This window comes from Homo sapiens, chromosome 7 (assembly GCF_000001405.40).
Source record: "Homo sapiens chromosome 7, GRCh38.p14 Primary Assembly".
Taxonomy (NCBI): domain Eukaryota; kingdom Metazoa; phylum Chordata; class Mammalia; order Primates; family Hominidae; genus Homo; species Homo sapiens.
The window spans coordinates 85623471-85639844 of NC_000007.14; the positions used below are offsets into that span (position 1 = coordinate 85623471).

The 16374-nt window shown below is 34.6% G+C and overlaps 1 annotated feature.

The window, feature by feature from the left end:
• Nucleotides 7260-7801: an enhancer, noted in NCBI's record as "NANOG hESC enhancer chr7:85260046-85260587 (GRCh37/hg19 assembly coordinates)". NCBI's record gives its function as "activates a minimal SCP1, AML or CMV promoter by ChIP-STARR-seq in primed H9 embryonic stem cells {active_cell/tissue: H9 hESC(primed)}" and the evidence as "EXISTENCE:reporter gene assay evidence [ECO:0000049][PMID:30033119]".

A 16374-nucleotide genomic window follows, 5' to 3' on the forward strand; every position in this document is an offset into this window, starting at 1 on the left:
AATTGTTCTCCACAGTGGCTTACTATTAATAATTTACATTTCCACCAACAGCGTACGAGAGTTCTCTTTTCTCCACATCCTAGCCAGCATTTGTTACTGCCAATTTCTGGATAAACACCATTTTAACCAGGGTGAGATGATAGCTCATTGTAATTTTGATTTGCATTTCTCTGATCATCAATGATGTTGTGACCTTTTCGTATACTTGTTTGCCATTTGTGTGTATGTCTTCTTTTGAGACATGTCTGTTAAAATCTTTTGCCCATGTTTTCATCATTTTATTCAATTTTTTCCTATAGGTGGTTTGAAATCCTTATATATTCTAGTTATTAATATCCTGTCAGGTAGGTAGTTTTCAGACATTTTATCCCATTCTCTAGGTTGCCTCTTCGTTGATTGTTTCTTTTGTTATGCAGAATTGTTTTAACCTGATACTATTCCACTAGCTCATTTTTGCTTTCATTGCTCGTGCTTATTGGGTATTACTCAAAAATCTTAAGCCAAGATTTTTGGCCTAGTCCAATGTCCTGGAGAGGTTTTCTAATGTTTCTTTGTAGTTATTTCTTAGCTTGAGGTCTTAGATTTACGGCTTTAATCCACTTTGAATTGATTTTCGTAAATGGTGAGAGGTAAGTGACTACTTTCATTGTTTTGCATATAGATACTCAATTTTCCCAGAACCATTTATTGAAAAACTTTCTTTTTCCCAATGTATATTATTGGCATCTTTGTCAAAAATGAGTCCACTGTAGATGTGTGGATTTATTTCTGGGTTCTCTATTCTATTCCATTGGTAGATATGTCTGTTTTTATGCCAGTACCATGCTGTTTTGGTTACTGTGGCTCTGAAGTACAATCTGAAGTCAGGTAATGTGATTTTTCCAGTTTTATTCTTTTTGCTTAGGATAGCTTTGGCTATTCTGGGTCTTTTCTGTTTCCATTTAAATTTTATATATTTTTTCTATTTCTGACATTGATATTTTGAGAGGGAGTGCATTAAGTCTGCAAATTGCTTTGGGAAATATGGACGTTTTAACAATATTGATTCTTCTGACTCATGAACATGGAATATTTTTCATTTCCTTGTGTTTCTTCAATTTTTTCATCAATGTTTTATAATTTTCATTTATAATTTTCACAAAGAAGATCTTATACTTCTTTGACTAAGTTAATTATAGGTATTTTATTTGTAGCTGTTATAAATTAGATAAATTTCTTATTTTTTTCAAATTATTTGCTCTTGGTATATAGAATTGCTATTGATTTTTATATGCTGATTTTTTTATCCTGAAACTTTACTGAATTTATTTATCAATTCTAATAGTTTTTATATGGAAAATTTAGGTTTTTCCAAATATAAGATTATACCATCTGCAAACAAGGATCCCTTAATTTCTTCTTTTCCAAATTAGATGCCCTTTATTTCTTTCTCTTGCCTCATGCTCTAGCTAGGACTTCCAACTCCATCTTGAATAACAATGGAGAAAGTGGACATCCTGCTTGTCCTCCTGATCTTGGAGAAAAGGCTTTCAGTTTTTTCCCATTCAGTGTGATACTAGTTGTGAGTCTGCCGTATGCGGCTTCCATTATGCTGAGACATGTTCTTTCCATACCCAGTTTTTTGAGGGTTTTATCAAGAGGGGATGTTGAATTTTACCAAATGCTTTTTCAGCATCAATTAGCCTTGCATCCCTAGGAAAAATCCCACTTGGTCACGACAAATGACTTTTTAATTTGTTGTTAAATTCTGCTTACTATTATTTTGCTGAGGGTTTAGGCATTAATATTCTTCAGAGTTACTGGCCTGTAGTATTATTTTTTTGAAGTGTCTTTCATTTTGGTATCAGAGTAATATTGGCCTCATAGAATGAGTTTGGAAGTATTTCCTTCTCTATTTTTTGGAATAGTTTTGGTAAGATTGATATTAGTTCTTTAAATGTTTGGGAGAATTAAGCAATGAAGCCAATGGGTCACAGGCTTCTCTTTGCTGGGAGACTCTTTATTACAGCTTCTATCTTGTTACTTGTTATCAGTCTGTTTAGGTGTAGGATTCCTACATGGTCAGTTTGGTTTTAGTTGCCTAGAAATGTGCCCATTTCTCCTAGGTTTTCCAATTTATTGCCCTATAGTTGTTCATAATAGCCACTAATGATCCTTTGAATGTCTATGAGATCAGTTGTGATGTCTTTTCTCATGTCTGATTTTATTTATTGGGTCTTCTCCCATTTTTTCCTTGTTAGTCTGGCTAAAGGTTTGTCAATTTTAGACATTTAGGTTGATTCCACTGACACAAAAAGGGGAACAACAGACACTGGGCCTACTTGAGAGCAGAGAGTGGGAAGAAGGGCAGGATCAGAAAAAATAACTATTGGGTACTAGGCTTAGAACCTAAATGACAAAATAATCTGTACAACAAACTCTTTTGACATGAGTTTACCTATATAACAAACCTGCACATGTACCCTTGAACCTAAAATAAAAGTCATTGAGAAAAGATAAAAAAGAAAAGTTGTTTTATTTATTGTTTTTATTGGTTCATCATTTAGTCTTTCTACTTAAGATACAAGTGGTTTACACACCACAGTTACAGTGTAATAATATTTTGTGTTTTCCTGTGTACCTACTATTTCTAGTAATTACTGTATCTTCACTGCTTATTGCTCATTAACATCTTTTATTTCTGATAGAAGAACTCTCTTTAGCATTTCTTATAGGAAGGGTCTGATGATGAAATCCCTCAGTTTTTTTTTTTTTTTTTTTTTGGTCTGGGAAAGTCTGTATTTCTTCTTAATGTTTTAAGAATATATTTGCCTGTTACAGTATTCTAGGGTAACAGTTATTTATTATTATTATTATTATTTTGCTTTTTTTCCTTCATCCCTTTAAATATGCCATGCCACTCTCTGCTGGGCTATAAGGTTTCCATTGAAAAGTCTGCTGCTAGACCTATTGCAGCTCCCATGTTTATTTCCTGTTTCTTTTTTCTTGCTGCTTTTAGGATTATTTCTTTACCCTAGACCTTTAGGATTTTGATTATTAAGTGCCTTGAGGTAATCTTCTTTGGGTTAAATCTGCTTGATGTTCTATAACCTTCTTGTACTTGGATATTGATATCTTTCTCTAGGTTTCGGAGTTCTCTGTTATTATCCCTTTGAATAAACTTGCTATCCCTATCTCTTTCTCTATCACTTAAGGGTAGCCTCAGCTGATGTTTATGCTGTTTACATGGGATGACACTCTGAGAGTCACTTTTGTAAAGAATAGCATGTTTTAATAAGGAAGAAGAGATCATTCCATTTAAAATGATGCTGAGACATCAAGTAAGATGAACAGAAGATTGTTCATTCACCTTAGCAAGATCACTTGTGGTCTTCATAAGAGCCATTTTAGTAGAATGGGTTGGAGACATAATGAAGTATAGTAGAGTGAACACAACAAGCCTAAATAATTCTTTCAAGAAGTAGCTTTTAAAAAATATTAAAATTGCTTATATCCTTTGGGCAGTGAGAGAAGATATACTCCAGAGCGCAACTGGCAGGTTTTCCCTTAGAACAGAAAAGAGAATTCCCACATGATATTAGAGAAGAAAAATAAAGTTGGTCATACACGATGAGGTCATCAACTCCATCACCAGAGAAGGAATTTTAAAAAAATTACTGGAAAGAAGGGTAAGTTATTTTCTAGAGTATCTACTAGGCTTTTCTGGCAATAATGGATGCCTATTTGAGATTTGTGATTATAAATTTAAAGGGAGACCAGGTAGAGCTGGAAGCCAGTATTGGCTATTAAGTTAACATTGCAACTCTCAAGTCAGAACATTTGAATTCAAATCTTGCTTCTATCACTTATTAGTTGTGTGACCTTGGGCCAATTAGTTAACCACTTAAAAGGCAAACTGCGTTTTATAATATTAATTTAGATGAGAACATGTCAACATTTGATGGTCTAAATACTACTGTGTTAAACAATTTATTGTTCTACTCTAGGTAGATAATGAGTGCCATGTCTCACTTTAATGCTAGGCCTATAGCAGACTTGCCTGAGTCTGATCAAACAAGTAGTGGCCCCGTGACTATAATGTAGTAAGTATTGTGTTTGTTCCTAAAACATTGGGACTCAATCTAGGAAAAAACACAATACGAAGAAGCTTGTGTTCTTGATTTTGTGAAACACTCTCATCCCTGCTTTTATGGTTGCTTTGGTTTTGTGCCATTAGAAAAAACGAGGTCAGATAATGAAAAAAAAAAGAGTCACACGTCTTGGGTAGTTTAATCAATTATTTGTTAAACATCTTTTCTTCAGTGAAGGTTCTCCAGTGAGCATTAAATGTAATTAAAGTATTTTCAAACTTGGGATAATTATTGGAGTAAATTTCATGATCTTTCCCAAATCTTCATTATTATCTAATATTTCTGTCTTGCTACTTCCAAATCACCGACCCACTAGTCAAACTAGTCAAACTTACTAGGACAGTCAGCTTCATCGGCATGTGCTCTGTACAGTCACACAGAACCCCATGCTGAGAAGGGTTCCTGCTTTGTTAATGCTTTGCTTTCACCATCTTGAAATTCTTTAGACTTGAGTTTTCTAAGTGAAGCCTGATGGAACATTATAGCCTGCATGTAAACAGAGGGGACACACTGGGTGTCAGTGCAAACACATGGCAATGGTCCAGCAGCAGTCAACCCATGCTAGCTCAAGCTTGTGGGACCAGTGGGAAGGACGAATGCGTAGCAATTGGCAATGCATGCAAGCAAATGCCTTGGGGATGTTTGTGGTACCATGGGGCTTCAAGGGGGCTGCCAAAGCAGGACCTGCTCCCAGATAGGAAGCAGCAATGGCTACAGAAGCAACAAAAATGGCAGTGGCAGTAGCCACAGGAGGAAAAGAGGCTGTGCTTGTAGTGTCAGGACATGTGGTGGAGGCTGGCTAGCTTGTCTGTTTCCAGAGCCTGTGCCTGAGGCATCTTTAAAGATATTAACTCTCCAGTTTGAGTGCTGGCAGTCAAGAAGCAAACTATATCAGTAAATTATTACAAAATAAAAGTTTATTCTGAATGTCATAATGAAGACTACTGGGATTCCTAGAAAGAACACTTCTAAGCGATTAGAATCTCCAGTATTAATAACTGACACAGCGTTGCAAATTAAATATACACAGGCTTAAATATAGAAATGACATTTAAACATTGAAATATTGGAAAAGAACACTATTTTTATATGAGATTTGGGATACAGTGATATATTTCATAAACAGGCATTTTGAATTATGTACAAATCATGAAGTTGCTCTCTTCAGAAGAAAGTTGCTTTCTTCATAGAAGTGTTTCTTCTATGACCTCCACAGTTATAGGAGTTATCAGAGGAAACATTAAAATGTTTTTGCATAAATTCTCATTTAAATTAAATTCAGACTTACACAAAACTGACTTCTATGAAGAGTTAAATCTTTTTAGAAGAAATGTGAGAAATATCAGGTCTAGAGGTACTAAAATATATATTTCAAAATGATTTGTCAAAAACATTTCATCCCTGTCACACCTTATGAAATACTCTCAATAGTTCCAGAAATTTTCAGCAACAGAAAAAAATTTCTTCTCAAAATTAAAAATTATCAAAATTATTTGAGATCTTGCATTTATCAAGAGCAACTGAAGTTATTTTCAATCATATAAATTGTAAATAAAGTGGTGATAACTATAAATTTTGATAATTTACCAAGCAAATTTATAGAAAAATGAGAAAAAAATCTTATGGTCAATAAATATTTTACAGTGAGAAGTTATTGTTATTTATGGCATTATACATAGAAAAACTGTAAAATGTGTAAAAATTGCTACAACTATAAAACATATTTACAATTTATAAATTAATATTGTTTCTCACGTATCACCGGTATACCTATTATGTTTTATCAGTAACAAATTGTTTTAAAGAAGAATGTTACATTTTTGCATATTTAATAATGAGGTACTAAGCAAACAGTCCCACATTTTTATTTTGCACTGGGCAGTACAAATTATGTAGTGTAACTTGCCAACTACCTATAAATTATTGCAAATCCTACCTCTAGTTAACCTCCTACTCAGGCAGAGTAAACCTTGAAATGTAATGTTTAAAGATCTACTGTTGGGAGAATCTTTTGTTTATTTCTTAAGTGCCCCTGAGAAGGAATGTCTTTCACTGCCCACACAGACTCATCCAGGAAATATTTCCAATCTTTGGGTGTAGATGCCAGATTTTATATCATTGATAACACCCCACCATATTAATTAATGTTGGATGTTTAAAAGCTATCAGGGTAGCCAGTCCATAAGGTATTCAGTGAATTATGCCAGGGCATTTAATAACACAAAAGGGCCAATTAGATCCAATTTTTAGTTTTGATTTCATCATTTTAGAGTTGTATGATCTTGGGGTGGTAGGGGTGGTGACTCTCATGCAATCTCAACATTTTGGGAGGCCGAGGAGGGCAGATCACCTGAGGTCAGGAGTTCGAGACCAGGCTAGCCAATGTGGTGAAATCCCATCTCTACTAAAACTAAAAATTTAAATTAGGCTGGCATGGTGGTGAGCACCTGTAGTCCCAGCTACTTGGGAGGCTGAGGCAGGAGAATCTCTGGAATCAGGGTGGCAGAGGTTGCAGTGAGTGGAGATCAGGCCACTGTACTCTAGCCTGGGTGACAGAGAGAGACTTGGTCTCAAAAAAAAAAAAAGTTGTATGATCTTGGACAGCTCACTTAATTTTTCTCGGCCAAAGTACACTGATTTGTAAGATGATAGATTTGTTCAGATATCTTTTGAACTCCCTTTTAACTACAAAATTTTATATAACAAAAGTAAATACTTCAAATCACAATGATGGTCAACTTCTCAAACATAAATGCGATAACCAGAAAAATAGAGAATTATAATTTTAAAGCAAAATTAATAATAACTTAAATAGTGGAAGGTGTCATTACCTACATACTCCTGGATTGTATCACAGAATCAGTACAGATCAGCTTTATATAATTAAGTGGTCTGGTTTTACCGAAGAGTTCCCATTTTGGCTGAATAAAAATAGCAGCATAAACCAGGGTATAACATTGACAAACTTAGTTACAACATTTTTTTTCTTTTTTAGACACTCTACAATTTGGCCTGTGTTCCCTAACCCATAATCTCATTTCTTTGTTTTCTTTTTTCACTTCTATATGTTGGATTTACACTATATTTCAGAGAGCATATTACCAGGTATCAAAATAGAGGGTTTTTTTCAATTAAATTTAGAAAACCTTTCTGAAGCCTAGTATTCTCGTATTAAGAAAGCCATGTATTCAAGAAATTTCCTGATTTATCTTTACAGCAACATGAAAAATGCATTTGTTTTACCAAAAATAAAGCAACCAGTCGTTAGAAAGAAGTAAGTATTTTCTTGTTCCCAAAGTGTCACAGGTCATTAACTGAGTGGCTAATTGACAGGTATGGTATAGTGTTGTCTGTTCTTAAGCAAATAAGCTTATTCTTCAGTGAAGAGCCCTAAATAGTGTGTTGTGATTGCTTAGTGTGATGGAAATGAACAGCCCTGAGTAATTGATTGCAGTGTTCACAATGCCTGTTTGTTTTTAGTATTCTTTGCAATCTCTGGATCTGTTTATTCTGGGCCTACTCATTCCTTGGTCCCAGACACTCTGCTGGTTTTTGAACAGAGTTCAGACTGTTCTTTGTAACACAGCCTTACAAACAAGGATGAGGAGATGTGCAATAGCCTGGTGTTGATCTGAAACTTCTGAAGGATTCTGTTCAATACTTGGCACACTGCACAGACTTTGAGCAAATAAATGGATTTCAGATCAGTCTTCCACTTCTTAATTTGACTTCATAAAATGGAGGAAACCATGTGGATGAAATTAGGAAATTTAGATTAGAACAAGAAATTATTCTGGAATGGAAGGCATGCTATGCTCTAGAGTCCTCTTTTAGATAGGATGTTGGCCAGAAACCTTACTAAAACTAAAAGGGAAATGCTTAGTCATTTCCCCATCTTAAACTGCATACTATGTTAAAACAAGAGAAAAACAAACCTTCCCTAAATTCGGTCAAATGATAATTTACAAAATTGTTTAATAGAAATCAGTGACAAAATTAATACTTCACAAATGTATATCATGCAAAATGAATCAACTATATAGCATTTATTTTTATTTTAGAATAAAAAGTTCAGAATCATATTATCCAAATTATTTTTATACATACTCTGTTTAAAACTTGAAAAATGTAATTAGCAATTTATCATTGATACTGTCATCTTTCTAAATATCTTCCAGTTTAACAGGCTTTATTGATGAAAGCATTGACTGTTTTTATTTCACAATGCAGTCATATGGAACGATTATTATTATTTATGCTTTTTTAGAAGTCACATGAAAATAAAAATGTACTCATCAATATTGTTTCTCAGCTTATCAGCTACAAAATAGCTAGCAAAAATCGAAAAATTTTATTACCATCGTCAACATTAACTTACTGTAGATTGAAATTTGGGTCATTTAAAAATCATTTTTTTAAAAAAATATTTTAATTACTTCATTTTAAATTAATGTATAATAATTGTACATATTTATGGGGTACATAATGATATTTCAATACATGTTATGTGTAATGATCAGATTAGTGTAGTTAGCATATCCGTCATCTCAAACATTTATTATTGCTTTATGTTGGGAACATTCAATATCCATCTTCTAGCTATTTGAAACTATGTAACATATTATTGTAAACTAAAATCATCCTACAGTGGTATAGAAAAATAGAACTTATTTGCCCTTTCTTGCTGTAATTTTGTATTCTTTTAAAAATCTCCCTATCCACTTTTACCCCTTACCCTATCCAGCCTCTGTTCTACTTTTTACTTCTCTGAGATCAACTTTTCTAAGCTTCCACATGTTAGTGAAAATACGAGGTGTTTAACTTTCTGTTCTTGGGTTATTTCACTTAACAGTATGTCCTCTGGTTCCATTCATGTTACCACAAATGACAGAATTTTATTAATTTTTATGGCTGAATTGTATTTTATTGTCTATGTATGCCACATTTTTTGTCCAGTCATCCGCTGTGGAACAGCACAGTCGATTCTCTATCTTGGCTTTTGAGAATAGTGCTGCAATAAACATGGGGGTGCAGATGTATCTTTAATATACTGATTTTCTTTCATTTGGATAAATGTCCGGTGGGATTGCTGGGTGACATGGTAGTTGTATTTGTAGTTTAAAAATATTAATTCTGCATGTTGCTATTTCTATATAGTTTGTATTTAATTGACCTTTATATATAGTTAATTTCTTGGATCCAAGAAGGTTAAACCTGAAACAATCAAAAAACTTAATAGCTGTTTATTCATGGAATTATGTCCTTCCAAATTAATATGTTGAAATCCTAACTGCCAGTACCCAAAATGTGACTTTATTTGGAGAGAGGGTTTTCACAGAGGTAATCAATTTAAATGAGATCATCAGAGTGGACCCTAATCCATAATGACTGTTTTATTTATAAAAATAAATATTATACATACGGCCAGGCGCCGTAGCTCACACCTGTAATCTTAGCACTTCGGAAGGATGAGTTGGAGACCAGCCTGGCCACTATAGTGAAACCCTGTCTCGACTAAGAACTAAAAATACAAAAATTATCCGGACACAGTGGCCCGCACCTGTAGTCCCAGCTACTTGGGAGGCTGAGGCAGGGGAATCACTTGAACCTGGGAGGCAGAGGCTGCAGTGAGCCCAGATCATGCCACTGCACTCCAGCCTGGGTGACAGCAAGACTCTGTCTCAAAAAAAAAAAAAAAAGGAGTTAGTTCGGAGAGAGATGCGCATATAGAAAGCCATGTGAAGATGAAAGCACGGATTGGGATGATGCTTCTATAATTCAAGGAATGCCAGAGATTGCCAGAAAACGACCAAAGGCTAGGGACAAGGAAAGGAACAGGTTCTTCCTCACAGATCTCAGAGAGAAGAAACCTTGTCAACACTTGATTTAGGACTTTTAGCTTCCAGAACTTTGATAGAATAAATTCATGTCATTTAAACCATCCAGTTTGCAGTACTTTGTTATAACAGCCCTAGCAACTAATAAAATCGCACCATGTCATATATATAATGTGCATGATACGTATTAAAACATATATGCACGTTTATAACTCATATTTTTATCTCTTTATCACACATACTATATATGTATATATGAGTGTATGCAAATGCATGGACAGAGAACATTTTTAACAGTGGTGGTGAGAGTATATGAGAGGGATTGTTAAAGGGTTGTGTTCATCTTTAACATTCTAATTTGTAAAAGGACAAATTAATAACCACTTATGGAATTTAATTATAAAGAAAATAATAAACTTTAACTTTGAACTTGTGTTGAAGTTGTTATTATATTTCATCTGAAAAATTACAAAAGTTTCCTCCTGGTTTTCCTTTATTTAAAATCTCACATAATTTATTATTTCTCCACTAGTAGAAATCCTATTAACACTTCAAGAACTAATCCTTACCCTAACACTGATAAGTAAAAGTAGTTATTCCTTTGATTTTTGGTATAAAACTTAAAAACTTGATATTTTATAGGGATAGTTTGGTACATTTTTGTGTCACTTACTAGAGTGCGAGCTTCTTGGTATGAGAGAGTTTTCTGCAAACATAATATTTATCATTTTGCTTTATAAAAACAGGGATGTTTTAATTATTTTTTGAATTTTACAATATACTGACTAAATGGAGGCTAATACCACAGCATTCAGGAGCATATATTTTGGCACTGGACAGATTTGGACTTTTATTTCAGCTCTGACAGTTACTTGTTCTGTGATCTTGGGCAAATAACCTAAACATGTATCATTTAAATAATGGCACTGAGCTCAAAGGTTTATTGTTGACATTTAATGTGAAATGCATATACAATTTTTTTGGCACCCTGTTCTTAGTGTTAGCTTTTATATAAATACATTTTTGTTTCTTGTATCAAGTAGGTCTATAGATTTTAACTGGCAGAAGATCTTCATCCAGAAACTAAGACTCTACAGCACTATATTAAGATCCATGATGAAGCAAGTAGGCTGGGCACGTTTGAATAACATAAATGGAAATACTAGGGGCAGTGATTATCTGGTAATGCAGGTGCTCATCTCATGGTGATTGTGGAATAATAATTACAAATATATATATATATATATATATATATATATATATATATATATATATATATATACACACACATATATAGAGACAAATATATAGATGCATATGTCTTAAAACCCTTAAAAATCTCTGTAGTTACAGGGGTGGTGGGAATCTTTTGTTCTGTTACTTAATCTTTGCTCCTGGTTCCTGTCACAGGGCTTCTAAATCCCTTGGAATTTCCTAGGTGATAGTGACATATTTTGTTCTAATGAGCTGAATCTTGATAGGCTCCTAGATAAAGCTTCAGGATAGAAAGACAAAAGCATAATAAGAAACTTAGAACTTACAGCTGGACAGAAGTGTTGGTAATCTGGGGAGCCACTACTCATGGTTGGTGTTTGAAGAAGGAGGTAGTATTGTGGTCTGAGCCCTTAACCTGGGGATTCTGCCCTAACTCCAGGGAGTTTGTGCCATAATAGAATTGTATGACACGCAGTTGATGTCTGAAGAGTTGTAGAACTGGTTAGTCTGGGTAAAACTGGCACATCTGGTGTCAGAAGTAGTGAATGTAATAAAGAAAAGAGTTTGTTTTTTCTGTATAGTGATTTACCCACATAAACATTGACAGTGTGTTTCTCTCTCTCTCTCCTTGTTTTGACCTCTACTGGTACTGTTTTAATCCTAAATTCCGTGTGATTGACTTTTTTTTTTTTATTTTTTGATGGCTTCTTTATGCCAGCTCCTGATTTTGCTTACCTGATATCCACAGACCATCTGATTGTTTATCCTGTTTACCCCACTTTTGCTTGAAAATGTGGCTACATACTTGAACTTGGAACATGTTCTCTTTTAGAATCTGCAGCTGGAGAAGGATGTGTAGAAAGATCTGAGAGAGAAGGCAAAGATGGCAAATAGTCTGGAAACATTGTTAAATGAAGAACAGTTGTGGAAAAAGCTAGAAAAGAAACAAAATACTAAGAGACATTAGCAATAGTTTTTAAATATTTGAAGAATTGGCATGCAGATTCTGGAGTGAACTTTATTTCCTGGAGATCAAAGCAAATAGTAATGGTTGAAAGATAGAGAATGAATAGAAATTAATTTCAATATAAGATTCTTTACACATATTTAAATATCTCTCTTTACATTTTTTTGCACTTGCTTTGTTAAATGCATCTGATACATTCTGTCAACTAAGATGCCAGAAGCAGATGGAGTATGATGTGAGTAATCTTGAGAAGCGATTGTAACGACCACCCATTTCAAGCACACAGCATCTGCAGATGCTCTGTTACAGCTGCCAGCCCTACCTTACATATGATGCATTGGACTCCAAAAACACAACAGAACCTGTACTCCTGATGTGAAAACGAATGCTATTTGGGCCCTTTTTCAACTAGGGGCCATGTATGCCTCTCCCTGTTCTTCCTTCCTAAAGTCTCTTCTTTCCTCACAGAATTTTATCTCCATCTTCAGGCATTCTCCCATTTCCCGCCTTTTGCTGTCAAGTACTAGTGACCGAGTGTTTTGTTGGAAAGCATAGTTGCTATTCCTCGGACTCTGGAATTTTAAATGGTATCTTCCTTTTCCTTATGGTGGCTCATTGAATGGTCCATCCTCTAAGCATTTTTGGTAATCCCTCTTTTGAGTACAGCATCCAAATTTCTGGTCTTCATGAAAAAGCCTTCTAGGATAGCTTTCAGATAATATAATTATGGGAAACACACAAAAAAACTGATTGCTTTAATTAAAACATTTCAGCAAAGGCTGAATGCTGTAACTACTAGGGATACTGCAATGCTTACCTTAGCAGGAAATTGAAATATGAAATTTGTATATCTATAGGAAACCTCCTGGACCCACTTCAAATTCTCTTTGTCTGAACTCTTATTTTAGACATTTCTTTATTGACAAGTCCCAGAAGTCTTCATTCACGTAGGTATAACATGGATGTGCCTTGACTCAGACTTCAGCCTCAGTCCCCTCACTTCTTCCCGTTGGTCTTCACTGATACTGCAACATGGGACAGCCAGGGGAATGTAGTTGGCACATTTTCCAGCACATCTATAGGGAATGGGGGTTATTATTCCATTAGACAGCTCTCGATGCTAAGACTCAATATGGCACCGTTCCTCCCAAAAACCAACCACTTGGCAGTGTGTGGATGACCATCATATCCCTTCCATCCTAGAAAGATAAGTAATTCATTCTTAATATAAATAACACAAAAGCCAGATATGGGTTCTATTTCTCTGTGTACAGTGCATCTACAAGCATCATCATCTATATGCCTGCTTTACCAGCATAGTATATAGCACAATATTGTCTCATATCAACTCTCCCATTTTATGTCAATAGAGATGCAATAATAGGCATGAAACTATGGGATCTGCTGGTCTAAAGTACACTCTGTCACTCCAAAGCAACTGGTCTGATGAAATGATGAAATAGTCTGTTATTATAAATAACCTGTTATCCTTTGAAATATAAAATATATTTCTATAAAGACAGCACCAAATCTCGAGCCCACTCTGTATAAGTCTGTCCCAAGGCTGCTCTGTCCAAGCACTCAAAATATGCAAATAGAGAGTGTGAGGAAATTAATATCTCATGGAGCATTATTTTAACATAAGGATAGAAACTGATAAATAAGTATTATTCCTTTTTTTTCTGCCAAGTAAGCGTTCGTGAGGTTTCTTATATGGTCTTAAGAAATCAAGTACCTTGTTTTCATAGCAATGGTCAATTTGATAGCATTGAGTCTCTCCACATTTCTGATTTCCTTGTCTCATCCTTCACTCTTGGTCTCTGGGATTTCTCTCTCAAATAAACTAGTCATACATAATCCTTTGTCTCAGGCACTACCTTCTGAGAAACACAGGATAAGAAATACTTAAAGTCCCTACCAATATTGGCAATGTATCTATTTCTCTAATGGTAATTGCACTCTAAATCTGGCCAACTTTTCCATAATAGCCCAGCAGAAAGATCCTGGGCTCCTTATTCTGAAAGGAGCTGTCACTATTTGCTTTTGATCGAAAGGCCAAGAGGGTACAGTAATAACCTATTTTTAGTCCGTGGCTTAATGTGTACAGTTTTGTGCTATTAATCATTTGAAAGACAAAATAAAACTGAATCAAAATGGCATGATTAACCCAACAGTGCCAAGTTTAGGTATTAGTATTTGACAATAAGGACATGCAATAGAAATATTTGGCAATGGTTGTTGCTGTGGGTTTATGCAGATGAGAATGGACAAGTTTTCTCTGAGGCCATGAAAACCACAACATCATTATTATAACAAAAATAACATTAGACAAAGGGTCTTGAGGATTGTATCTGACTTACTGTGAAGAAATTAAGACATTTTTAATCCTTAAATATTGTTTTATTATTTAATCAAATATAAGAGCATGAGAAATTCTGCCACTTAATCTTCTGATGTGATTAAGCTTAGTCTGTTTTGTGAGTGCTACCATGACAGATGATGACTAGACTTGTAGATTTTGGCTACTGATACACCTAACTGGTTTGCTGTCAGTTGAGGTGAGTTACTCTATTATATTCAGATGAGAGCTGGGTACTTAGGATTGCCACTTTTAACTACCATTTCCTCCTACTTGCAGAGGTTAAAAAGCTAAAACACAAAATTTCCCAGAGTCCTTTCCTGGTTCTAAATGTAAAATGCGTTTTGCTCATTGGATATATTTGATGAAATTTTGGAAGGCAAAAATGAGGTTACACTTAGCTTCCTGTGGCTCTTGACTATCACAGCAAGCTAGCAGTATAGATTTATGGGGCTTCCCCACAGTGGTATTCTAATGTCCCCTCCCCAGCTTCCTAAGTATAATAGATACTTACAGAATGATAGTGGTTGTTTCTTGCTCTCAGTATAGCCTCAGAAGAGTAACTGCTATAGTGGTTCAATGCTGTATTATTTATGGAGATATTCAAGGAAGTCATGCATTCCAGGAGCCTATTTTTTTTTTTAGCAATTATAATGACTTCCTAAGCGGTTTAATTCCTTGAGTCAAATATCTTGCTGCTTAGAATGTCCAGAATGGCTTCTATTTTCTTCCCTGGTCCCTAATGGATGAACCCAGTTAAACAGAACTAAACCTCATGACATAGTAAAGAGTGAAATTTCATGTGATTGAGGAAGTACCATCACAGAGATAAAGACTATGTAGTGATATCTATGTCCACATAAAATTTTTTTTGTAAATACCATGTGTTAAATATATTAGCAAAAGTGAGAGAAGCAAGGTCCAAGATAAAAACCCTTGGCTTGTGTTTATTTTTGAAGGACTTAATAGAGTTAGATGGATTTGGTGACTGGGAAAGAGATGACACTAACCTTTGGGCATATGTGTATGCTGGACTTTAAACCATGATCCTTTCTGTTGACCTTAAAAAAATAACATAATGTCCTTTTTTGAAAAGAAGGGGGGTACTTAAATTTTACCTGACTTTGATTTTTTTAAAAAAATGTAAAAATACAAGATATACCTACACACTCTATGTTCAATTCCTAGCTCCCATTTAATGATCTTCAATTCAGAGTAATATTCTGAGGGAAAAAAACATTTTCCACACTGGGCACTCATGTTTCTTTGATGAATGAAGGAAAGCTGTTATTACAGCCAATGAATGTGCATCCTGGACCCCATAAATTCCTGACACTTCCATCAATACCCAGAAAACACGGTTTATCAACAGATTGTAATTTTAGGAGCAATTCATAGACTCTAGAAGATGAGAGTTTAAATGACACTAGACAACACCTGATTTTCTGAATATTAGCTCTTTGTTAGCTTATTTTTTAATGAGTTTTAAAACAGTACCAAGTCTTACTGGCATTATCATCTGGAATTCATTAAATATAACATGTATGCAAGAACTTTTTTAAAGTTACACATTTTTCAGTTTTAGTAAGTGGTGAAAAAGCTGACTCTTAGAATATATTTCCAATCATGTTATTTTATTTTTGCAGTAAAATATGGATTATTTCCCATGTTCACTCAACAGCTCACAGTGACTTTTGAAATTATGAATGGCATACAAAAACAGTCTCTTGCTCTTTTGTGTTGCAGCTGTTACCACTATCTCTGTTTATAGGACTCTATGCATTTTTCATAATCTTTACTCTTAAATAGTGATTTGCATGGCACAAAAATGTACAAATTAAAATAAATTAAATGGCATAGAAATCC